This window comes from Homo sapiens, chromosome 12, assembly GCF_000001405.40.
Source record: "Homo sapiens chromosome 12, GRCh38.p14 Primary Assembly".
Taxonomy (NCBI): domain Eukaryota; kingdom Metazoa; phylum Chordata; class Mammalia; order Primates; family Hominidae; genus Homo; species Homo sapiens.
The window spans coordinates 43,740,037-43,766,382 of NC_000012.12; the positions used below are offsets into that span (position 1 = coordinate 43,740,037).

Genomic DNA, 26,346 nt, shown 5'->3' on the forward strand with positions numbered 1-26,346 from the left:
AATTTCATTTGTGCCCTCAATTTCCTAAATTCTTTGGACTTAAAAATAATTGCCAAAATCTTAATGAAAAAGTTGCCAAATTTAATATTTTAAATCCTAAATGATTAAAAGATGTTCCTTTTTTAAAAAATAATATCTACTAGTTTATGTATTTTATCACTGTCTTTAGCACTGGGATTTATTTCTAAAGCACGTGTCTTAGAGTAGGAAAGGATCTTAAATAGGTCATTTGACCCAATTTCCCACTCAATTTTCTTTTACAGCATTCATTTATTCAAACAAATATTATTAGGTATCTGCCACATGCTAGGTACTGCATAGGGTATTAGGGACAGAGCATTGAGTAAAAGAGTCATGGTCTCTGTTCAACTAAAACTTTCTGCCTACTGACAAAATTAAATAAGCAATAACAATAAAATATAATAAAACTTAAGATGGGAAGCCCAAGATGATTCAGGATCACAAAATAAGAGGAATTCACTTTTTCTTGGGGAGTAGAATGAGAATATTTAAACTGAGACCTAAAGAATATACAGGTTGGGGAGGGGGTGCTTCAGGCAAAGGAAAGAAGATATAGTTTTTTAGCTGCAGGAACCAGCCTCTAAGATGGCCCCCAATGCTCTCCATCACTTGGTCTTCACACATGGAGTAGTCCTCTCCCACACTTATCAGGGTTGGTCTCTGTGGCCAGAAGACAGAAGAAGTGAAAGTATGCCACTTCTGAGACTAGGTTATAAAAGACACTGTGGTATCTGTTGTCTCTCTCTCTCTCCTTTGCATCCTTGGACTTATCTCTCTAGGAGAAGCCATGCCACAAATAGTTTTAAGCAAGAAAATAAAGTCTGCCAACAACCACGAGCATGAGCTTGGAAGCAGATCCTCCATCCTGGTCAAGTCTTCAGAGACTACACATCCGGGCCAATTGTGTGACTGCAGCCTCACAAGAAACCCTGATCCAGAGCCACTCAGCTAAGCTGCTCCCAAATTCCTGACTCTCAGAAACTGAGATAATAAATGCTTGTTGTCTTCAACCACCACGTTTTGGGGTAATTTGTTACACAGCAATAATTGATTATTACTACTAAAGCAAAATTTTTTAAAAATTCAAGAGCATGTAATATGAGGTTTGAAAGAGGTAGAGGGGTAGCCATCCAGCTTTTGCTTAAATGTTATGAGAAACAGGACATTCCAGTTATTTGAACAATTGTTAAGAAAAAGTCTTTCTTATGCTGGACTACAAGTCCCTTAAATATCTAGCCCATTCCATCTATGGACACTTGTCTGGCACTGTACTAGCTGCCTTCACAAAAGTTCTTTCATTTGATTCTCAGAAAAATCTTGTGACATACATGCTATCTCCATTTTACAGATAAGGAAACTGAGGCTTGGAAAAGTTAAGCAACTTGGAAAAGTTAAGTACCTATAGTAACACATGTGACAAATGGCAGAACTCAAGTAGAACATCTGCTGCATCCAACAGGCCCCAAACTATTAAGTTCTTCTTCTGTATGACAAAATTTTAAACATTTTACAAGTTAATTTTCAGAGTTTTCTAGACTGAAGAACCACTGCTGAGGTAAACATTTCTAGACTCTTTATTATATCAGTTATATTCCAGTTGCTAAAATCTCCTTTGAAATGTGAAACCCAGAACTAATTATAGATTTGCAGATGTGGTCTAAATCATCAGCTCTGAACATTATTTGATATGTAAGATGATGTTCAATGCACTACGCTTCTCACAAAATCTTTTACTGTTTCTTTCTCTTCCACTCAAGAAATCATATTAGAACACAGGTGAGTGAACGAGATACTATCATAAGAATAATCTTGCATTTGTTCAAATATATAATTTTTATAGTTTTATAGTTTTCCTCCATTATGTGCACTCCATTTTAGTGTAAAAATATGTAATTACATATAAAAAATATAAATTAAAAGCAGATATACACACATACGCTTTTAATATTTCAGCAAATGCAGCTTCTTAGTTGTAACATGAATTTTTAGCTTCATTTTGAACTAGTCAGATTTTGTTTTCAAATTTACTGCTCCCCTTTTAGTCTCTGGACTTATGTGGATTCCTATCTTTTATATGATCTGATATCTGATTTCTGGGATTGTAGGATCAAAATTTCCTCTAAATCTTCTATTCAGTTCACTAAAATTGGAAAGTGATGGTCATTTCTGTGTCAAATCTCAAATATGTACTAACCACAAGGACACTCACACTGTTGGCTTTCTTGTAATGTGATATCAAGGACAGAGCAGCAGCTTACTAAATGTTCAGTAATGTAATATATTTGGTATGTGAGTGTTTACATGCATTTATATGCTAGAGTTAAGAAAGCAAGGAGCTGGGTTATGTAGTAAGTATAATTGACAGAAACAGATAAGATTACATTTTTCAAAATCCATACCATTTCATTCTTCAGCAAAGCTAGTCCAATTTGGTCTGTGTGAACTTTCCTTCCCTTCCCAAATCTCTGTGGTCCATAGTAATTCACAAAGCCTTTTTTCTATGTATACAAAATAATCAACAAATTAAGAGTATATAAATACAATTATGTGTCAAAATACACAATTGAATTTTTCTCTTCATAATTATTTTAACAGAATAACTCTGTAATCAGCAGTATACACATAGGGACCAAATGGTCTGAAAAATGCTGTAAATTAAAGAAAAGGAAAGAAAACACAGAATTAGAAGTTAGAACATAAAACCAATGAAGAAAACTTTAAAAATACGTCAGCTTTCCATTCATGTTACTGAGGGATTTCCTGGGATGTGAGATTTTCAGTGTTAAAGCCAGAAAAGTTCTGGGCTTCCAAAATGAGTTGATCACCTAGTACCAAGATCTGATCCCTACTCTGATGCTCTTTCTTATTTTGAGACTCTTCGGCTGTCTGGAGATGTCGGGAGTCAAGAACAGGCTCACTTTCAAACCCCACATATCCTGGCTCTTTTCTACATAACGTTCGTTCTTTAGTTCATCTCAGTTTCTTAAAGGCTGACCTGAGACAATGGAGCCACTTCAGCAGTACTCTACCGGTCCAGCTATTCCAGCACCTGGAACAGTCTGTATTCCAGGGGAAGAATACAGACTTCACTTCCTGCTGGAGGTGAACCATACAGGCCATGTTTTAAAACTGTCACATTACTCAGAAGAAATGGAAAACTGTAACATACTACCGCAACCATTAAAGAAATTGGTCAGTCATTAAACATGTGCTCACAAAGAAAACACCAGGCCCAGACAGTTTCTTGAAAGACAAGAGTCCTCCACACTTACTTTATGAGGAGAGTATGCATTTATTCAGTCAACAATTATTATTGAATACCAACTCAAGAACTTTTTAATAAAAGATGCGGAGCCAATTTGTTATCAGCATGGTACAAAAGCAATTGCATCTTTATCTCATGTCATTTAAAAAATTAATTGCAGGCCAGGCTCAGTGGCTCACACCTGTAATCCCAGCACTTTGGGAGGCCAAGGCCGGCGGATCACGAGCTCAGGAGATGGAGACCATCCTGGCTAACATGGTGAAACCCTGTCTCTACTAAAAATACAAAAAATTAGCTGGGCGTGGTGGCGGGCACCTGTAGTCCCAGCTACTCAGGAGGCTGGGGCAGGAGAATGGCGTGAACCCGGGAGGGGGTGCTTGCAGTGAGCCGAGATCGTGCCACTGCACTCCAGCCTGGGTGACAGAGCGAGACTCCGTCTCAAAAAAAAAAAAATTAATTACAGATAGAATAAGTACTCCCTGAATTAAATCTCATAAATATTTTTAGTTATTTCAAATTTGAAAAAATAACATAAGATGACGTCCTAGAGTAACCAGAAGAGTTTTAAATTAACCCTTCAAAGTACTTAGATATAACAAAAGGTTTATAACAGAGATATAACCCCTTGAAACAAAACTTCAAAGACTCCTTATTTTCAGGGTTTCTCAATTCCTTTCTCACATCATAAGAACTAATGGAAGTTGGCTAAAACTAAGATTGTTTCTAATGGGAATTTTGTAATAGGCAGCTGTATGTTCATAAATAACAAATGAAAGACAGGGAATAAATGCTACCAGAGTTCAAAGAAACTTCTACCTTTTTAAAGTATATCATTTTAGTAACAGTTTTTGAGGAAAAAAAAGTAGAATTTTAGGTGGGTCAAGGAAAACGAAGGTAAAACAACATATGATATGGTTTGGCTGTGTCCTCACCAAATTTCATCTTGAATTGTAATCCCCACAATTCCCACATGTCATGGGAAGGACCCGGTGGGAAGTAATTGAATTATGGGGTCGGTTTTACCCCATGCTGTTCTCATGAGAGTGAGTTCTCACGATAGTGAGTTCTCACGAGATCTGATGGTTTTACAAGTGTCTGGCATTTCCCCTGCTGGCATTCATTCTCTCTCCTGTCACCCTGTGAAGAGGTGCCTTCTGCCATGATTGTAAGTTTCCTGAGGCCTCCCCACCTATACGGAACTGTGAGTTAATTAAAGCACTTTTCTTCATAAATTGCCCAGTCTCGGGTATTTCTTCATAGCAGCATGAGAATGGACTAACAAAACATATAAAGAGTATATAATCAGATAACTTCCATATACAGATGAAAGTGCTGGATTTAAAAGATCTTTAGTTGGAAGATATTTTCCTAACTACAAGGCAGATTAATAACCAGTTTTTGTTTGTTTTCCTGTTGGACAGGTATAAAATTGTGTAAAAAGGTCTTTGTGGTGAGAAACTTGAATCAGTGTTTCTCGGTATTGGCTCTAAAGTACAGTCACCTAAGAAGTTTTTCAAAAATAAGTACTAATGCCTAACCTGCATCCCCAAATGTTCTTTTTTAATTGGTTCAGGAGTAGATATCAATGGGTGAAATTTTTTGAAAGCTCCTCAGGTTGAGAACTACTCATCTAGATCAGGGGTTAGCAAACTACTATAGCCCACAAATGAAACCTGGTCCAACACCTGTTTTTGTAAATAAAGTTTTATTGGAACACAGCCATGTTCATTCACTTATATATTGTCTGTGGCTGCTTCCATACAATGGCAGTAGATTAGTTGCAAGAGGAACCATATGTCTAAAAGGTCAAAAATTTTATTATCTGGCCCTTTACAGTATAAAGTTTGCTGATGTCTAGATGATCTAAGATGGTCTAGTCTTGAAAACTATAGTTGTATGTGCACATTTAAATGTCGGGAAAATGTCATTTAGAAACTTATGCTAAGTAATTTTTTACTGTAAAACATAAAGTTTATGATATGTTTGGCTGTGTCCCCACCCAAATCTCATCTTGAATTGTAGTTTCCATAATCCCCACTTGTCATGGGAGAGACCCAGTGGGATTGAATCATAGAGGTTGTTACTCCCATGCTATTCTCATGATAGCGAGTGAGTTCTCACAATATTTGATGGTTTTATAAGGGGCTTTTCCTCCTTTGCCTGGCACTTCTCCTTCCTGCCACCATGGGAAGAAGGATATGTTTGTTTCCCTTTCCACCATGATTATGAATTTCCTGAGGCATCCCCAGCCATGCTGAACTGTGAGTCAACTAAACCTCTTTCCTTCATAAATCAACCAGTCTCAGGTATGTCCTTACTAGCAGTGTGAGAATGGACTAATACAGTGTGTGTGATTTATAATGTGTATACATCAAAATTTCCAAACAATAAATTCCCCTGACTAAATACTACTCTATATAGCAGATGCTTAAAAAAAATCTCTCTTATGAATGTAGATTGTCCCCTCTTCTCTGGAGGACACCATATCCTGCATTTTTAAAATCATGTTTACATATTTTGTTTTGTTTAAATACAAAAATGTATTAAGCTGAAAATAAAATATAAGCCAAATGGCCCTAATTATCACTTTAGAAAATAATTAATCACTTTTAAAAATCCCATAAAAAGGTACAAAAGAAAAAGAAGTTTCCCCTCTTGCCTCAGTGTAGAGAAAGAGACAATGAAGATTTCCCTGGATGCCTTTTAAAATTAAGTTTTCTTACCTTAACATTTTCTATTGCTTCCATAATTCTCTCCCTCAGGTTTGCAGAATCATTTATTTGTTTTTTTAAATTTCTAATGACAATATCAAAGTGATTTCCTTTGAGCTGACCAAGTCTCAGGGAATCATCTACAGACCGAATATTAAAGACATTCATTCTTTTCTTTTCAATTTCTTTTTCAATATTTTTCAACCTGTAAGTAATAAATCATATAAACTCAGTTAAATTTTACATTTAAAAATTACTTTAAAATAAGGTTTTAAGTGGCAGTTGCCAAGCAACCCCTTATATGAGAATACTAATACAATTTTTTAAGAATATTCTAAAGTTAATGTTATTTCACCAAATGTGTGCTTAATACCCATTATTATAGGATTGCATTAACAGAACTATTTTAAAAACTTGAACATATATTACTAATGTTATCACTCTTCCAGTGTAGGCCTTCTGACTTCTCCTTAGCTCGAGTGACAGAAGCTCCTAGCAGTTCTCCTGATCTTCCTGTCCCCAACTCTGCTCCTTTCCTTCTCAGTCTCTTTACCCAACATTACCAAGAAAAATCACTAGCACCAGAGGATTTTCCTGAAATTCTGCTCTGACCACTTCCTTACTCAAACTTTCAATTCTTCCCAACACCTAAAGAATTAATATCTTCAATATTTTTAGAGTAACTTGTATGACCCTATAAGGGCTGATTTAAAATTTCCTTTATAGCCATATTTTCCACAGTCCTTATAGGAATTATATACGTGACAGACTATTGAGTTTACTGCCCGCAAATGTATCTCTAGTTTTTTGCGTCTGCTAAAATCTTACTATTACTTGAAGTGTAATTAAAATTCCAGACTCATAAGCTAAATTAAAGTAATCTCTCTTCCTTAGAGGGGAGCTTTCATCTTAAATACACTTTAACATCTAAAGTTCTTCTTTCTGCACTATCCTGCACTTCTTGACCACAAAAGCAAAATCAAACACCTTTTTTGTCCCCCATATAAGAGCTTAGAAGCACTCAGAAGAGTCTACTTGCACATAGTGGATACTTAAACATGCGTTAACTAAGAATTAATATATCGATATTACGTTAATTAGGCTGAATTTTGACCCAATCATTCACATTTTGAAGTTTATCTTAAGGAAATTATAAGTTACAGATTTAAGTATAAGAATATTACTCATGGTATTATTTACAGTGAAAAGCTGGAAAGAATTTCCATTTTCAAAAACAGGGAATGTTAAACAAATTAGTCTATATGATAGACATAATTTATTTCATGACATAAATTTTCATCTAACAATATTATTTTATTTTATAAAGCAAAATATAAACTGTATATGCAGTATGATTTTCATATATATAATAAATGTTGGCTGGGTGCAGTGGCTTATGCCTGTAATCCCAGCACTTTGGGAGGCTGAGGCGGGTGGATCATCTGAAGTCAGGAGTTCGAGACCAGCCTGGCCAACATGGTGAAACCCCATCTCTACTAAAAATTCAAAAATTAGCCAGGCATGGTGGTGGGCGCCTGTAATCCCAGCTACTCGGGAGACTGAGGCAGGAGAATCGCTTGAACTTGGGAGGTAGAGATTGCAGTGAGCCAAGATTGCGTGTTGCACTCCAGCCTGGGCAACAAGGGCAAAAATCCGTCTCAAAAAAATAATAAATAATAAAAAAAAGTTTTTGTGTGATGTAGTCTCTGAAAAAGGTCTAGAGAGAAACAGAGAAAAATGTTATTGCAGTTATTTACTTTTGTTTATTTTTTTGAGACGGAGTCTCGCTCTGTCGCCCAGGCTGGAGTGCAGTTGCATGATCCCTGCTCACTGCAACTCCCACCTCCCTATTCAAGCAATTCTCCTGCCTCAGCCTCCCAAGTAGCTGGGATTACAGGCGCACGCCATCACATCCAGCTAATTTTTTATATTTTTGGTAGAGATGGGGTTTCACCATGTTGGCCAGGCTGGTCTCGAACTCCTAACCTCAAGTGATCCGCCTGCCTCAGTCTCTCAAAGTACTGTGATTATAGGCGTAAGCCACCGTGCCCAGCCTATTGCAGTTATTTCTGAGTAGTAGGCTTACCGGTAACTTCATTTTTAAAAAACTTTTTTCTATTTTCTATAATAAATATATGTCTTTTACAGTAACAAAAAAATTTGTAAAATTTGATTAAGCTGACGGAGGCTAAATTTGAGTACTTTACATTCTATTTCACGAGGATTTTTTTTAAATGTAAGGATCCACGATAATAAAGGCATAATATAATTAATTAGGAAAACATGATTTATGAGACACTTTTCTGAATATAAATGCATATTTGAATGCAGTACAGGATGTTTAGAAACCATTTAGACAATTTAAATCTTCCACTTCTCAAAGTTTCTATCCTAAAATTTCTTAATATCTTATTACCTCTCTGGAGTCACTTTTCTAACAACCATTGCTTGATAGGTGATGGCTTTCTTGTCTTTAAGGCCTGCATAACTAAAATCCGAAGGAATAACACCAAGTTTGATAGCTAAAAAACCAATCGCTTCAAACATTTCCAGGTTTTCCTTTCGTAGGGTAAAAGCTGAAACAAAAAAAAAACTTAGATCACAAAAAAAGCAGCTACCATACATCAATTACATTCTTAGCTAACAGATTAGTATAATAAATCAAACTATTAATCTAAGGAGTTTTGTTGTTGTTGTTGTTGTTGTTTTGTGATGGAGTGTCACTCTGTCACCAGGCTGCAGTGCAGTGGCGCAATCTAGGCTCACTGCAACCTCTGCCTCCCGGGTTCCAGTGATTCTCCTGCCTCAGCCTCCTGAGTACCTGGGACTACAGGTACACACCACCACGCCCAGCTAATTTTTGTATTTTTAGCAGGGATGGGGTTTCACCACTTTGGCCAGGATGGTCTCGATCTCTTGGCCTCGTGATCCACCTGCCTCGGCCTCCCAAAGTGCTGGGATTACAGGCGTCAGCCACCATGCCCAGCCGTAAGGAGTACTTTTTAATGAAAATATAAAATCAGCATGATAGATTTCAGCTGTTATTTTTAAACTGCTGGTTGGCTCATTGAAGGCTTACAGGCAAAAAATTCCAAATTCCTTAATTTGGTATTCATATCTGGCCAAATCCACTTTTCCTGTCTCCAAGTGCACCACTTCCCTTCACATATCCTGTAACCCTGCCACAGAGAACTTCTTGTAATCCCTGGATTAACTAGAGCCTTCAACAGTTTTGTACTTTCGTACATTTAAGTCCTCTGTCTAAAACATGTGTTCCCCTTGTATGTTCATTGCAGCGCTATTCAGAATACCGAAGACATGGAATCAACCTACGTGCCCAACAACAGTGGATCTGATAAAGAAAATGTAGCTGGGTACTGTGGATCATGCCTGTAATCTCGGCACTCTGGGAGGCTGAGGCAGAAGGATTTCAAGAGCAAACAATCTAAGACCAGGCTGGGCAACATATGGAGACCCCATCTCTACAAAAAATTAAAAAGTTAGCAAACACCTATGGTCACAGCTACCCAGGAGGCTGAGGTGGGACGACTGCTTGATCCTAGGAGGTCGAGGCTGTAGCAAGCCACGATGGTGCCACTGCACTCCAGCCTGGGTGAAAGAGCGAGACCCTGTCTCAAAGAAAAAAAGGTGGTACATATACACCATGAAATACTACACAGCCACTAAAAAGAAAATCATGCCCTTTGCAGCAACATGGATGCAGCTAAAGGCCGTTATCCTAAGTGAATTAACAAAGGAACAGAAAACCAAACACCTCATGTTCTCACTTATAAGTAGGAGCTAAACACTGGGTACACATAGACATAAAAATGGAAACAATAGACACTGGGGTCTATAAGAGGTAGGAGGGAGGAAGGGCATAAGGCTGAAAAACTACCTGTTGGGTACTATGCTCACTACCTGGGTGATGGGTTCCATCGTACCCCAAATCTCAGCATCACACAATATACCCTTGTAACAAACCTGCACATGTACCCCCTGAAACTAACATAAAAATTAAAAAATAAAATGTGTTCCTTCCATTTATTATTTGTCTTACTTCTATGCATTCTTGAAGGTCCAACAGCAGCAGCCATTCGCCCTAACAATTTTGGACATGTCATTCAAAAAGCTCAGCAATTTAAAAGAAATCCCCAGCTTGTTTATCAGTTTGTTGCTGATACTAGCCTAGGTGGATAAGCATTTTTTCACCCATAAAGATTTAGAATTTAGTATAGAAATATATTTAACAAAATCAAATCCATGATATTGTATTAATATTAATCTGTATCTACATAAAAGTTTATGCACTTGAATGTTTAAGAGAATGAAACTTGTAGTTCCAATTTAAAATATTTAATTGATTTAATTTGTCTTTTTACATTGAATCTTATTTAAGTTAGTAAGCAATATGGGAACATTTACAAAATCTTAAGGGTCACTAAATTTATAAGTTTAATGTATAAGATTTATAACATTTTCTTAATTACTTAGAACAATTACATATTTAAAAACAAAGTCAATTACACTGAATTTTAAAATTCAATTTTAGAGACTTCCACTTTGAGCCCTGTTGGAATAACTGACACCAGATGACCTCCCACTGTAAACAAATAGAACACTGAACAAAACATATGAAACAGCCATCTTTAGAGACTGGCAAATAGGTACCACAAAACTGTAATCTAAAAGAAAAGAAAAACAAATGAGGGGAATCCTAAAATACTCTAATTTTCTGCCTAGAAGTACATTCTGGAACATAGCACAGACAGAATCCAGGTAGAGCACAGGAGTTTTGCTGAGTTAGGAGGGTAGATATTGGAATTCAGGAAGGCTGAGTGGGCTGGAATTCACAGGGAGAGTACCTGATAAGACAAAGCTTTGTAGAGAAGAAGTTCCAGAAATCTACATAAATCGTTCCTTGAGTTTGTTGCTGATCAGTAATTTATGCATGTCTACGGTTAAATGCTATGTATTATTTATTGTTGCGTAACAAGTCACTTCAAATCTTAGTGGCTTACAATATTCATTTATCTCCTGTAGTTTCTGTGGATCAGGACTTCAAGAACTCTTTGGTTTGGTGGTTCCAGTTCAGGCTCTCCTGAGGTTGCATGCAGTTAGATGTGGCTAGGGCTGCAGTTATTTATTTATTTATTTTTAATTTATATATATATATTATTATACTTTAAGTTCTAGGGTACATGTGCACAACATGCAGGTTTGTTACATATGTATACATGTGCCATGTTGGTGTGCTGCAACCATTAACTTGTCATTTACATTAAGTATATCTCCTAAGGCTATCCCTCCCCCCTCCCCCCACTCCACAACAGGACCCAGTGTGTGACGTTCCCCTTCCGGTGTCCAGGTGTTCTCATTGTTCAATTCCCACCTATGAGTGAGAACATGCAGTGTTTGGTTTTTTGTCCTTGCGATAGTTTGCTGAGAATGATGGTTTCCAGCTTCATCCACGTCCCTACAAAGGACATGAACTCATCATTTTTTATGGCTGCATAGTATTCCATGGTGTGTATGTGCCACATTTTCTTAATCCAGTCTATCGTTGTTGGACATTTGGGTTGGTTCCAAGTCTTTGCTATTCTGAGTAGTGCTGCAATAAACATACGTGTGCATGTGTCTTTATAGCAGCATGATTTATAATCCTTTGGGTATATACCCAGTAATGGTATGGCTGGGTCAAATGGTATTTCTAGTTCTAGATCCCTGAGGAATTGCCACACTGTCTTCCACAATGGTTGAACTAGTTTACAGTCCCACCAACAGTGTAAAAGTGTTCCTATTTCTCCACATCCTCTCTAGCACCTGTCACCTGTTTCCTGACTTTTTAATGATCGCCATTCTAACTGGTGTGAGATGATATCTCATTGTGGTTTTGATTTGCATTTCTCTGATGGCCAGTGATGATGAGCATTTTTTCATGTGTCTGTTGGCTGCATAAATGTCTGCTTTTGAGAAGTGTCTGTTCATATCCTTTGCCCACTTTTTGATGGGGTTGTTTTTTTCTTGTAAATTTGTTTGAGTTCTTTGTAGATTCTGGATATTAGCCCTTTGTCAGATGAGTAGATTGCAAAAATTTTCTTCCATTCTGTAGGTTGCCTGTTCACTCTGATGGGCTGCAGTTATTTAAAAGCCTGAAAGAAACTGGAGGATCCATTCCCAAAGGGGCTCATTTACGTGGCTGGAAGGTTGGTACTGGCTGTTGGCATGAAGCTCTAGTTCCTGTCCAAAGGGCTGTTTTGAGTATCCTCACAGCATAGCAGCTGGCTTTCCCCAGAGTGAGCAATCCAAGAACATGACAAGAAGTGTAATACTTTTATGACCTAGCCTCAGAAGTCACCTCACATCCACATTCTCCCTCAAATTCTTTCCAAGTTCCAAGGCTGAATGCTTACAAAGTAAATATCACGTGTGCTTTACTGACCATTATATCCCATCCACTGGCAGACAAATGGGTAAGCAAAATGTGGCATACACCTACCATGGGGTATTATTCAGCCTTAAAAGGGAAGGAAATTCTAACACATGCTACAACATAGATGAATCTCGACAACATACTAAGTGAAATAAGCCCATTACAAAAAGACAAATACTGTATGATTCCACTTATATGAGACACCTAGAGTTGTCTAATCCATAGAGACAGAATGAAAAATGGTGGTTCCCATTTTTCAGAACTGGAGAGGAGGAAGAATTGTTTAATAAATATGGAGTTTTAGTTTGGGATGGTGAAAAAATTCTGGAGATGAATGGTGGTGAGGGATGTACAACCATGTGACTGTCCTCAATGCCACTGATACTTAAAAATGGTTAAGATGGTACATTTTATGTTATGTATATTTTAATGTAATTTAAAATTAAAAATAAAAGGTTTTTTGAACCATCATTCCTCCTTTTAACATATGCCTCCAACTATTCACAACTTTAGAAAAGTGAATTTAAACTAATATATAAAGTTCTATAATTTTTTTACTCATTAACCCAAATTAATATTGTTAGAATTTCAAGTAGTATAAGATAAATAAGAATTCCTAGAGCTGCTTAAATCACTCACCAGCAATTCCTCTTTCTACAAGTAAAGCTAGTATTGTTTTTCCTTCAAAATGGATATATCTGTTAACACTTACTATATGCCTAATATTAAGTAACTATTACATAGTAAACAATTTCATTATTTCATTTAATCCTTCGAATATCATTGTGAGTCAGGCTTTCCTATTACCCTATTTTTCAAGTACAACCAAAAGTTATGAATTATTAAGTAACTTGCCCAAGGTATTATTCTTCCCATTTTTACATTTGTGAAATCAAATCTTAAACATGTTAAAAATTTCATAAGTCTTTTTGTGAACTAAAAGTCATAATATCAAATCAAACCCACATAGTTCCAAGGTCCAAACTCTTTTCATTTGCACCTGTAGTCCCTACATGGCACCATCCTATTTCTGTGTCACTGTGCAAATTTAGGTTCCTGGTTTTATCTTAAAATATCTTGCTAAATAAATTTATTAAATATGATCATCTGAAACAGTTCCCATCCTTCAAGTAGAATTGAGGCCAATTAAACCTAGTCAGCTGGACTTTTACAGTGAGAGTTCATCAGTTCCAGCCACCATGGGAATTAAACACAGACCCTAAAACAGTGATTCTCAAAACATAGCAGACCAGGAAAAAACACTGCCTGGAAATCTGTGAAAGCCCCAGAATCAGAAACTGAGAATGGAGCTCTGAAATCTGTTTTAACAAGAACTTTTGATGATTATATGCATGCTAAAGTTTCAGAACATCTTGTCTAAAGACCAGCAGGACCAAGTTTTCAGGTTCCCTACCTTGGGTAGGGAAATATAATTTGTTTTGGATTACAGAGTATCTCTTCACTTTCCCAAGCACAGTAAATATATTCTTCTAGTCTCTAAAAACTTAATTTTAATTGAGATGACTTCCAAAATATGAAATCAAGATTTACCTTCAATAAAACTTATTAAACACGAACCAACTGCTTCAACTTTATACATTTGTGAATAGGCTAATATAAATGCCTAGGTTATCAGTAAGGCTAATTTTTAAATTCAGTGTAATTTAAAAGGTTTTATCATCTTCTAGTAAGTAACAGAATAAATAAGAATTCCTAGAGTTGCTTAAATTGCTTATCAGCAATTCCTCTCCCTAAAGGTAAATCATATATTCTTTCCAATCTCTCTAGCCAAGTCTGTTCAATTCATTTTCACAATTTTAAATTTAGCTAAGCTTATCCAAGAAAATGGATGATGATTTATTAAATTACCTGTATATATAACTTTTCCTTCTTGGCATTCAGAAAGAGGCCTTTTCCCACGTTTGTGTGCTTTTTCCCGAAATCTTACTGTTACCACCACATTCGGATTACCAGCACTGCAATTCATTTTAGAAAAAGATTTGGTTTCCACAAGGTTTCCAAACTTTTTGTTGACAAAATGGTGGACAGCTTTTCTGTGGTCTTTGTTTGTATCAGGTTTAAAGGTAAATTTGGAATTTTCTTTCTTTGCATCCAAATATTTAAAAAAGTCAAATGCTTCCTCTTCAGATACCAAATGACAAAGTTCTTTATATTCAAGATTTGGTTTTACAACAATTTCACTGTTTTTTCCTACAGTTACTAAAAATGGAAATTTCTGCCTAATGGCACTGTGTAAACTAGCCCTCTGGTTTTTGTCAAGGATTCTGCCTATTGAGAATTCAGGAGGTAGTCCAATTAGCTCTGTTTTAGAAAGCCACTTCTCTCTTACATCACAGGCAAAATTATTCAGTAACTCATGAGTTTTTTCATCCAAAAAGGAGCTTAAAACATCAGCTTTTTCTTCACATTTGGAAGTTCCATCAACGATAGTATCTTCCTTTTCTGAACCAGACTGATGATTTTGGTCACCATCAGTGTACTTAATCAAAGTATGAACTTCTTGGTTTCTTCCATCTTCTAAGGACAGATTTTGAAGATCTAGTTTTGGTTTTTTGGGAAAATTATTTGGCTCAAGTTGTATTTCACTAATCTTGAAAATAGGCTCATCGATGGTCTTATTAACTAACTGTCCCTGTTCATCAATTTCAATAACAATAAAGTCACTTGGTGAGCTTTTTATAGTGCCATGAAATCCAACGTGATCATTAAAGAAACACAAAGAACTAAACCTGATTCTATAATCTGTATCTTCTTCCATTCTTCTATAACAGTGCCTAGAAAACAAAACAAAGAGGTGGTTAGTTAACAGAAAGAGAAGTTATGGATGACCAAATAGGAATAGGTTTGCAGGATTTAGTTAATTCTGTCTCTCTTTTAATTCTGAGTCTTCTTAAATGGTATCATTAACTTAATTTATAACTATATGTACTTCCTGTGTACTTTGACTCTCCTATACCAAGCTGAATTAATAGGCAAACTATTTCTGGTATAGCTAAAGATTTGTTAACTTGTATCTTCACTCACTCCAGATTTGTACCTATTATCCAGGATTAAAATGAGTCAATTTTATCTTAAAAATATCATTTGTAGGCTCACAAGAAGAGGTGAGAACACAGGACTATAAAACAAAGATTTGTCCAAATTCCATTCCTGGAGCCTAAAATTTCCAGCTAATTCCAGAGAACATGTGGCTAAGTTTTCTTATATTATTAGTGGTTAGTGACAGGAGAGGTGACAAAAAGACAATAGGAAAACTGATGGGTAAATGAAGTTCTAAATACAAATTTGTGATTTGATTATATTTCAAGGTAGGATTAAGTCAGTCCTGGGCCTTCTCTAATGCCCCCATTAGGACAAATAGAAGCTTTCAAGGTTGAGCCAGAGGAAAGTTCTAACTATATCATTGGCATCAGACAGAAGAAACCCTTACAGAGCTTCCTGGAAACACTATGCAAGAGAATAGTACTCTGATCTCTCACTTTTCACACAAACCCATGGCTACCATACCATATGGAGCTGCAGGAAAGATAAATTGCCCAGGGGCCCCATACTAGTGAGTTCTGTGTTTCCCCCACATTCTCCAAGTAACTTATCATCATCTGGACCATCATCTCATACCTATAATGTATTCTACTAATCTGAACCAATTTAGCAAATCACACCTTCTCAATCCTTTCCATCATGCCATATAGAAATCACTACAAATTCTCCATATCCTAATTTCCTAAGGAATATATAAGATATACTTACTTTCCTTAATTACTTAATTTCCTGTACAGTTCCCTCACTTTCTTGCCCTAATTGAAATCTGGCTATTTCTTCAGGCTGCTTCTTCTTCAGTCCTCTCAAGTAAAGGCTATTTTTTCTTTCCCACCCATCTACCTTAGGACCTGGAGGCTGTAAATATTGGTCTATGTTTGTCACTGTTCGTTGCAAGCCATTTCTTCCTCTACTACCTCCAAAAACCCCAATTCTTTTGAAGAGCCTGCCATTGGGCTTTACCATCTGCTGTCATCCTCTCTCGGATCCCCAGACAACTCTGCTTCATTCACTGATCTCTGGCTCACTACCTTCTTATCCAACATGATTTTTATGATCATCTATATGGATCATCCATTCAATGTCTTGGACCCTCAAGTCCTCAATCTCAACCTCAACCTCACACCTCTACTTCATCTTGGTCATCCACTGTCACGGTCATAACTTTGACTTTCTCATCTCCAAAAACTGCATTAACCTTAAGCATCTGATTCTTATGACTCCCAATGTCCTTTATCACACCAACTTTAATACTTCCATTCCAAAAACTTTTAGATATTGTGAAGGTCCCTAACTCCTGCTTCTATAACTAGCCCACAAACCAGCCAGAATGGTCTTAAAAGGTAAATTAAATCATATCACAATCCAGTTTAAAACCCTCTAGTCACATTTGCAATAAAATCCAAATTACTCACCCTGGCTTCCAAGGACATCTAAGATTAGGGACCCTGCTTATTCTCCAAACTCATTTGTACCTTTACCCCATTACCCACTATACTCCAGCTACTCTGGCCTTCTTCAATAGTTTTGTGCTAACTGTTCCTGTTGTTTAAATTGTTCCCTCCCCAATCATATAGCTGCATCTTTTAGGATTCATTTCCTCAGAGAAGTTTTTCCTGACCAATAATCTACAGGAACCTGCAAGTGATTCTCTTTTTTTTTGAGACGAAGTCTCACTCTGTCGTCCAGGCTGGAGTGCAGTGGCATGATCTCGGCTCACTGCAACCTCCGCCTCCCGAGTTCGAGCGATTCTCCTACTTCAGCCTCCCGAGTAGCTGGGACCACAGGGGCGCGCCACCACGCCCGGCTAATTCTTGTATTTTTTTAGTAGAGATGGGGTTTCACCATATTGGCCAGGGTGGTCTTGAACTCCTGACCTCGTGATCCACCCGCCTCGGCCTCCCAAAGTGCTGGGGTTACAGGCGTGAGCCACCGTGCCCAGCAAGTGATTCTCTTTCACAAAACCCTATTTAATTTTCTGCATAGCAGTTCTAGGTAAAGTTTTTCTTTATTATTTATTGTATATCTCCTCCAAAGAGAATGTTAGTTCCACGTGAGGAGTAACCTTGTCTGCCTTATTTACTACTGATGATCACACATTTTGAACAGTGTCAAGCACATGGTAGGTCTGCAATAAATACTATTGTTAAATAAATGAAATAACTAGTACAAAATAAGAGCTGTAGGAATGAAGTGGAAGATAATTAGAAGAGGCATAATGCAAGAAGTGGCCATCTAAGTCCTCCATAGTTCAAGAGATAGAAATGAGGCAGAGACCTCACAAGTAATGTACAAACAAAACATGCAATGTGTGCAAGAAAAACAAGCAGTCCAGATACAGAGCAGTGGGGATGGGAATGCAGGGAGACTACAGTGCTGGAAAATGTAGCTGAGTTAGTACCAGATTATGGAAGATGTTGAATGCCCTGACAAGGACTTAGAATCTATTGGGTGGTCAATGGATGGCTACTGTTAGTGTTTGAGTAGAAAAGTGACACAATTCCAAAACATGCTTTTGGAATTGTAAGATGATTCTGATGGAAATGAGCAAGATGTATCCGATGGAGTAACAGTTAGAGGAGTTCAAAAACAAAACAGCATGGTCAAGAACATAGCTGTAGGGATTGGCCCTGAAAGAATAATGATCTTTTCTTTCTCCCAGAAAAAAGGAGGAAGACAGACATTCTAAGCAAGTGAAACAGGTAGGGAAACTTGGGGAGAATGTAATTCCAGCATCCTGGTAGAAGAGTGGAACTGACCTGGAGGACAGCAAAGGAGCCCACGTGGCGTTAAGCCTGAAGGTGCAGTATTCCCATTCAACAGAGACTGCTGCTGACAGTGGGCGGGGGAGTAGTTTGCTTGGCCCGTGGTTGAGGAATTCGTTGGCGGAGGAGGGATCCTGAGAAGGTACTAGAAATACTGAACCCAGTCCTGCAGAAGCTACTTAACTTCACAGAAAACTAGGGCGTCGTTGCCCTCCAGCACGTCCAAAGGTGTCCCCGACAAGGCCAGCAGCTCTACCTGTTTCTTCTCCCTCCTCTTACTCTGCCTGTCCAAAGGCACGACACTAGTCCACGTCACCTTTCTTTGGGCGCAAAGGGTATGGATCCTCAATGCCAACCTCGTCACCCCCCCCCCCCACACACACACACACACACACACATACAAGCCCACCATCGCGCAAGAAACTCGACCCCGTCTACCTCGGTTCAGTGGAAGGCATTCATTTGCACAACGCTGTGCGCATGCCCGGAAGCCTTAAGTGTTTCAGCCTCCGACAGGGGCGTAATTAAAGGGGCAGGCGCCCACGTAAAGACGCGCCCTACGCAATACGTGGAGTTTCTCACTTTGTGGAGCCGCCTGGAGGCGCCAAGATGAAGCCCATCGGGGAAGTGGGGCGGGGCCAACCCGGCAGGCCCCGCCCCTTCGCGGCGCTTCCTAGTTCGGCTGGTTCTTCTGTCGCCGGCTTCAGCAGCCCGCGCCCGGGCAGGTAAGGCATTCCCCGCCTTAATGCCTCGGTCAAACGTCGTCCGAGGTCCGCTTCCAGGCCTCGGCACCTCTGCCCCAGGGTTGCTGGGGTCGGCTGCGGAACGGAAATCTCTTTATCATCCGTGAGAAAAGTTAGAGAGGAAGTGGGTTCCTTTGACAGAGCTTACTCCAGAAGAAAGACTTGGGTAGGTCCCCGGTAATCAAGAAGTTCGTCGGCCCTGAGGAAGAGCCTGAGGCTTGGAGGGACGTCACCCAGCTGTTCTGGGGCGCAGTCGGACCTCAAGTTTCTCACCTCTCAGGCCCTGGATTCCGTGAACCCGACTGCGAAATGAAGTCTCTTTTCCCCAGAACCAGGAAGTCAGGCCAGCACCTGACAGATGCCTGTGGCGCCAGCAGCTCGCTGAGCCTCCACACGATTGTAATTCGCTTGTTTCTCCGGCCTCCAAGCTTCCAGGGAATTAGAAAGTGGAGGCGGCTTATGGGATCAGATGAGTACATTCGCAGATGGGGGAAAAAAGTGTACCTGTCAGCTTGGAAGCCAGAGGGAGACAAAGGGATAAAAGCAAACCCTGTCCAGGTGCGGTGGCTCATGCTTGTAATCCCAGCACTTTGGGAGGCCCAGGCGGGCGGATCGCTTGAGGTCAGGAGTTCGAGACCAGCCTGGCCAACATGGTGAAACCCCTGTCTCTACTAAGATACAAAATTTAGCTGGCATAGTGGCGGGCGCCCGTAATGCCAGCTACTCCGGGGGCTGAGGCAGGAGAATCGCTTGAACCCAGGAGGCAGAGGTTGCAGTGAGCCGAGATCGTGCCACTACACTCCAGCCTGGGCAACAGAGGGAGACTCCGTCTCAAAAGAAAAAAAAAAAAAAAAAAGCAAACCCTGAGAAAGCGAGAAAGCACTTTGAGCATTTAGAATGGGAACAAACGGCGCTATTAGTGCTTCAAAAACGTAACTGCCCAAGGCCCCTGGTAAGCAGAGGATACTAAAATCTGCCTTTTCCCTTTCTTGGAGTGGTCCTTGAAGAGGGCTATCGGGAAGTTCAAATTTCTTCTGTTTTCCTGCAGAGCGTTCATTTGAAGTTTGCTTTCTACCTCTCCAAACTGAGCTTCTGATATTCCAGGCCAAACTTGCTCCTTCCTCAGCCTTCTCTATCTCAGTAAATATCGGTAAACTTGGTTATGCTGTCTTCTCACTCTCCACATCAGCCCATAGCTTTCTATTGGCTCCACCTCAGAATCCTAGGACTTCTGCACTTGCTCTGCTACGACCCTGGTCCCAGCCTGCAGCACGTCCCACCTGGCTTATTGGTAGGCTCTCCTAAATGCTTCTTTCTTGCTTCTCTGTCCTTACTCCAACATCCTTTATTCCCAGCAGCCCCAGTATCCTTCTAAGACATGAGTACAGAGCATGTCTCTTTTCTCAAAACTTCCAGCATCTACATCTCACCCAGAGGATAAACAAAGTCAATACAAAAACTCTAAGGCCCTTGAAGACCTGGCCCCTTTACCTTTCTGACCTCATCTGCTACTTGCCTGTTCCCTCCTCTGCAGTCTCACCATGTCCTTGCTGTTGCCCAGTGGGCCCAGTTCCAACCTTTGCATTTACATTTCGTTTTGTCCACAAACTTTTCCCACAGATAGTCCAGTGGCTGGCTTTCTCCTTCTTTTTGACCTTTAATCAAATGGCACCTTCTTATTGAGGCTTCCTGTGACTACCATATTTATAATTACAACCTTTTCTCTATTTCGTTTTGTTCTTTCATTTCACTTGGCACCATCTAACATACTATAGAGTTTATTTATTTGCTTATTGCCTTCCTTCCTCCATTAGAATATAAACTCCATGAATTCAGGTTTTGGTTTTGTTTTGTTTTTTTTCTCTAATTTTCCTAATGCTTCATCTCCAGGGGCCTGGAGCAGTATCTAGCACAAAGTAGACACTCAGTAAATATTTGGTGAGTCAATGGTATTATATTTTGTTTTTTAAATATATGCAAAGCATTTTCAATTACTTACTGTTGTGTTGGATCAATGTTCAAGAAAGATATGTTAAGTTTAATTTATGGTACACCAGCACATATCCCAGTTTGTAATAGGCAGCCCTATCTAATTTAATAGCTCTGGAAGCCCTCACCAGCTTTTGTTCATAATGATGATGTTAAAGTATCTAAAAATAAAGATTAATGGTTATACAGCATATTTTGCTAAGAATATATGGAAGTAAATAGTGTATTTTAGAAAGGATATAAATACATTAAAATTACCATGGTTGATCAAATAAGACAGCCACCATCTCAAAAGCTTAGCTATTTTCTCAGACTTGTTATTTGTACGCTTTCAGTAGATCCTCACTACTGTTCTGGAAATTGAACCTAAATACAGTCTGCACATATCTTTAAAAATAATGTGATATAAGAATAATTTCTGCCAGGAAATAATAATTGCTCCTTTTTTTTTTTGACCACCTATTATTATGTGACAAGATTTGGCCCTTTGCATGTGTTGATTTTAATTCTTACAGCAATTCTTAGGTATTACTATCTCTGTTTTTCAGATAAAGAAAAGCAAGGTGCAGAGAAATGTATTTACTAGCTCTGGTCACAGTTGGCTTTGGTTAGAACTTAGGCCTGTGCAACCTCAAAGTTCATCTTCCCTCCACCCCTGCACAATCTTTTCCTCTGATCAAAGTGCTAATGAAGCAGTCTTAAAACTTTATTAACACATTTGACAAGAATCTTTTGCCCTCCTGTTTTGGGCACAGTACTTTGGGAAGGCATTGGATTCCATAAGCAGGTGCTTATTTTAATATATTTCTCAATCACCACCCCACCTTTTACACTTGTCTGAATTGTCTTACTTGAAAATATGAATGGGTTTTCTTTACTATGAGAGTTAGTGGTATGAGGAAACAGTCATGAAGGTATTTACTTATTTGTAAGCAACATATCCTGTTCCACCTGTGTTAATCCTAAGTGTACTAAAGTAAATCTTGAAGAATTTGAAAGAGATGACACTTTTTAAGTTTTTTTTTGCCCAGTCTGTTTTCATTATTGAAAATTCAGAAAAGCAAAATGAAAACAAAACTATCATAAAAGTCATCACCAAGGGATAACCACGTTAATATTTTGGCTTATGTTCTTGTAAGTATGTGGTTGGGAGTGGTATATGAATATACATTTAAAGTAAAATTTTAATTTCTGGGATTTTGAACTTCTGGGCACATGTGTGGAGGAGTTGCAGAAGGCCTTCTTTTTCCTAGTATCCCTACACTTATCACCTCTGCTGGAAGCCTGGGTGCAGGAGAGCTACCAAATTTATCCCTGGCCTTTAGATAGTCTGGGTTTTTTCCTCAATTCCTTGTATTTTGCTCTAATTTATAAGACTACTAAGCAGTTCTATCTTGTCTAGCTTTGTCAATCATGTTGTACCTTACAGTAGAGAGAAATCTTAGTAAGGAAAAATAACTTGAAGAGAGCAACTGCAGAGTCTATAGGCAACCTAGATACAATTTCTTAATTAAAGTTAAAAAGTCATCAGCCTTTCATTCAACACAAATGTTGTGAGTCGTTGCTGAGGTGAATTTGGTTGGGTCCTAGCTCAGGAGAGCACCCATCTAACAGAGAAAGCAAACACATAAACAGTAAAACATAATAATTATTATAACAGAAGAATGACTAGGTGACATTTTGGAGCAAAAGAGATGACAATCAGGGGAAGCTAACAGTGCCTTTTGAATTGGGCTTGAAGGAATAATAGGCATTTACCAGGTGGCCTTTAAGGTATGTGGGCTATTCTTTTACCTGGCCCTAGATGACTTCATTTCCTGTTTCACAGAAAAAATAACAGTATGTGGGAACTCTTCTCCCTTCAAATATATCTGTATTTAAACCTCTGCTTCCTTCTTTCTAGATTCAAAAGAGGTTTCTCTCTATTCAAGGCTGATTTCTTCACCCTATATGCTATTCATTATCCCATTTGTATTGCCAAACAGCTTAAGTCTTAAACCCTTAACACCAACAGTTCTCAAAAGTCTGGTTGGAGTCCCTAATGCTCTTTCAGGAGATTTGTAAGGTCAAAATCATGTTTAGTTAAAAGATTCATTCAGAGTGCAATGGATTTTAATGTTCCAAGTTAATTTATACAGCTTCAGATTCCTCATTGCAGCTTACCTTTAGGAAGTTATTTCTTGTCAAATTTTAGTGTAGTATCAAAGAGAAATATCTACTACTTTGTGAAAAGGCTATTAAAATACACCTTTCTTTATAACTATATGTCTGTGTGAAGCTGGATTTTCTTCATATACATCAACCAAAACAACATGCTGCAGTGGGTTGAGTGCAGAAGCAGATACAAGAATTCAGCTCTCTTCTATTAAGTTAAATATTGAAGAGATTAGCAAAACTTTAAAACAATGTTGTTCTTCTGTTTTTGAGGAAAAGGTAATTATTTTATTAAAATATATATGCTAACATCTATATTTATGATTATTTTAAATGAATTAATAAGTAATTTTTAAGTTTCTCAGCATCAATTTATTATGGTAAATATTGGTAGATATAACCAACATAAACAAAAGCCCTTTGGGGTCTACAATAGTTTTTAAGAGGGTAAAAGGTCCTGAGACCAAATTTGAAAACTGCTACTCTCTTGCATGCTCTCCTCCCTCTCTTTCCCTACCCCTCCACCCCCATTTTCCCTCCCCTCATACTCCTCTCTCTCTCTTTCTCCTTCCCTTCATAACCAGACTTCTTGGAAAATCTGTTTTTGCCATTCACTCACTTTTTCACTATAGCTGTTCCCAAGTCACCAATGGCCTTCTGATTTCAGAGTCTAACATATCCATCAGTGTCTATTTGACCTCTCTGAGTCTTTTATACCAACCTGCCACCTTTTCTAGAAGTCTCTGGTATGCTACCATCCTGGTTTTTTTCTTGCCTTCATGACTAAGCAGTATTTTTTAAAATTCTTCTTTCACATCATTCCTTTCCATTCTAAGCATTCCTAATAGGCAACCTCATTTTATTGTTGCTTCAACTGTATATGTGTATATGCTCTTAATTTGTATGAGGGCATTTCAAAAAGTTTGTGGAAAAATTGAATTAAAAGATAAAAAATGTAAACTTTGGCTCAGCACTATGGCTCATACCTGTAATCCCAGCACTTTGGGAGGCCGAGGTGGGCAGATCACCTGAGGTCAGGAGTTCAAGACCAGCCTGGTCAACATGGCGAAACCCCATCTCTACCAAAAATACAAGAATTAGCTGGGTGTGGTGGTGCACACCTGTAATCCCAGCTACTTGGGAGGCTGAGGCAGGAGAATCGCTTAAACCTGGGAGGCAGAGGTTGCAGTAAGCCAAAATTGCACCACTGCACTACAGCCTGGATGATAGAGCAAGACTCCAAAAACAAAAACAAAACTGTAAACTTTATTTCTGAACATAAGCCCATGAAGTTCAAGACACTTTTGTAAGCGATAACACCAGCCATTTGGGCCATCCCTAAAGAACTGAGAGTCCTGGGAATTTAACCACATCAATGAAGTCTTTTTTACATTATTAACTGAAGAAAAATGGGTGCTCTATGAAGATTTTTCAAGATTGGGAAACAAAAAGAAGTCAGAAGGAGACAAATCAGGACTGTAAGGTGGATGCCTAATGATTTCCAGTTGAAACTCACAGAATTGCCCTTGTTTGATGAGAGAAAAGAGCAGGGGCATTGTGATGGAGAAGGACTCTGTGGTGAAGCTTTCCCAGGTGTTTTTCTGCTAAACATTTGACTAAAGCTGTAACAGAAAAGCTTTAGTTTAGAAACACTTAGAAAAGCTACTGTTTCTCAAAACCCTCTCTAATAAGCAGATGTTACCATTCTTTTTCCCTCCAGAAAGTCAGCAAGCAAAATACCTTGAGCATCCCAAAAACCTGCAGCCATGCCCTTGCTTTTGACTGTCTGCTTTTGCTTTAATTGGACCACTGCCACTTTGGGGGAGCCATTGCTTTGATTGTGCTTTAGGATCATACTCGTAAAGTCATGTTTCATCTCCTGTTACAATTTTTTGAGGAAATGGTTTAGGATCTTCATCCCACTTGTTTAAAGTTTCCATTGAAAGCTCTGCTCGCATCTGCAGCTGATCTGGGTACAACAGTTTGGGCAGCCATCAAGTGGAAAGTTTGCTCAACTTTAATTTTCAGTCAGAATTGTATAGGCTGAACTAGTTGTCTATGGTGTTCACTGTTGGTTCTGCTGTTAATTATAGGTACTCTTCATTTAGGGCACAAACGAGATGAATGTTTTCCTCGAAAATCGATGTGGATGGTCTGCCGCAGCAGGCTTCATCTTCAACATCATCTCATCCCTTAAAATGAGTTACTGATTTGTACACTGCTGATTTTCTGGGGGCATTGTCCCCATAAATAAAGCATCAGTGATTTCACCATTCTTCCAACCAACCTCCACCATAAATGTGGTGTTTGTTCTTGCTTTAGTTTTAGCAGAATTCATGTTGCTGTGGTAGAGGTTCTTTTCAAACTGTCTTATTCTTCTCAGTGTCTCAACTAGATCCTGTTTAGACATGAATGATAAGTTAGTATGAGTTTATTTTGGAAATACATTTTGCAAAAAAAAAAAAATTGAAATCCATGCATGGTTTTTGCACGATATGCATTTTCCATGAACTCTTTGAAAACCCCTTATATATGAGAATACTTACATAATGAGCATTCTTTGCTGAAACCTCTCTCCTAAGCTCCAGACCACATATATAAGTACTTGGTATGAAGGCTCCTAGATAGTGCCAAAGGTAGATATTTCACATTTAACATGAGCCAAAAAAAAAAAAAAAACTTCATTCTATCTCCCTTTCTTCTAATCGCTCATCTCTAGTGAAATTGTTTTGATTTGGCCTCCTAAATGTTTTGACGTTTTACCTCTCCATTCCCCTACCCTATACTTTTTCCAAGCTCTCCTTTCTGCTCACCTGGATTATTGCAGAAGTTTTCAAACTAATTTTCTTGCCTCAATATACATCCCTTTGATTTTTATCCAGAGGAATCCACTTAACCATATAAGATTATTTAACATCCCTCCTAAAAATCCTAAAGTGGCTCTCCTGTAACTTTTAGTTTATAAGTTCAAACTCTTTGTCTTAGCACATGAGGTACATGATGATCTGGCCCTGCTACCTTTCCACCCTCATCTCTTCTCACTTAATCACAGGCATCCTGTGGTCCAGCCATAGCAAGCTCTTTGCCTGAGACACACATGCTCTTACCTTTTCCCATGCTATTCCCTCTGCCTGGAATTTTCTTTTGGGCTTATCCTCATTCCCTTTCATTCATCCTTCCAACCTCCTACTCCAACCAAATCTGT

At 38.5% G+C, this 26,346-nt stretch overlaps 2 protein-coding genes across 30 annotated transcripts in view, besides 3 other annotated features; one reads left to right on the top strand and one right to left on the bottom strand.

The window, feature by feature from the left end:
- The window catches only part of PUS7L (pseudouridine synthase 7 like), a 39,799-nt gene extending 21,045 nt beyond the window's left edge, over window positions 1-18,754 (bottom strand). For 5 of the 11 annotated variants that reach the window (XR_944748.2, XM_006719623.3, NM_031292.5 and 2 more), the window contains exons 1-5: window positions 18,694-18,754; window positions 14,300-15,225; window positions 8,414-8,573; window positions 6,010-6,202; window positions 2,421-2,519 (exon numbers count right to left, since the gene is read on the bottom strand). Coding sequence is in view for 10 of the 11 variants with exons in the window: in XM_006719623.3 (XP_006719686.1) it covers window positions 2,421-2,519; window positions 6,010-6,202; window positions 8,414-8,573; window positions 14,300-15,225; window positions 18,694-18,713 (1,398 nt within the window). In the remaining variant the exon portion in view is untranslated. Of the gene's footprint in view, window positions 1-2,420; window positions 2,520-6,009; window positions 6,203-8,413; window positions 8,574-14,299; window positions 15,226-18,249 lie in introns of all 11 variants that reach the window. The other 6 variants (NM_001098614.3, XM_011538790.4, NM_001098615.2 and 3 more) reach the window with 6 other exon arrangements.
- Window positions 18,442-18,491: an enhancer, noted in NCBI's record as "active region_6217". NCBI's record gives its function as "activates an Ori minimal core promoter by ATAC-STARR-seq in GM12878 lymphoblastoid cells {active_cell/tissue: GM12878}" and the evidence as "EXISTENCE:reporter gene assay evidence [ECO:0000049][PMID:35858748]".
- Window positions 18,832-18,941: an enhancer, noted in NCBI's record as "active region_6218". NCBI's record gives its function as "activates an Ori minimal core promoter by ATAC-STARR-seq in GM12878 lymphoblastoid cells {active_cell/tissue: GM12878}" and the evidence as "EXISTENCE:reporter gene assay evidence [ECO:0000049][PMID:35858748]".
- The window catches only part of IRAK4 (interleukin 1 receptor associated kinase 4), a 30,591-nt gene continuing 23,159 nt past the window's right edge, over window positions 18,915-26,346 (top strand). For 6 of the 19 annotated variants that reach the window (NM_001351340.2, NM_016123.4, NM_001145257.2 and 3 more), the window contains exon 1: window positions 18,915-18,980. The gene's annotated coding sequence lies outside the window, so the exon portion shown is untranslated. Of the gene's footprint in view, window positions 19,951-20,888; window positions 20,937-23,265; window positions 23,421-26,346 lie in introns of all 19 variants that reach the window. The other 13 variants (NM_001351339.2, NM_001114182.3, NM_001145256.2 and 10 more) reach the window with 8 other exon arrangements.
- Window positions 19,562-19,621: an enhancer, noted in NCBI's record as "active region_6219". NCBI's record gives its function as "activates an Ori minimal core promoter by ATAC-STARR-seq in GM12878 lymphoblastoid cells {active_cell/tissue: GM12878}" and the evidence as "EXISTENCE:reporter gene assay evidence [ECO:0000049][PMID:35858748]".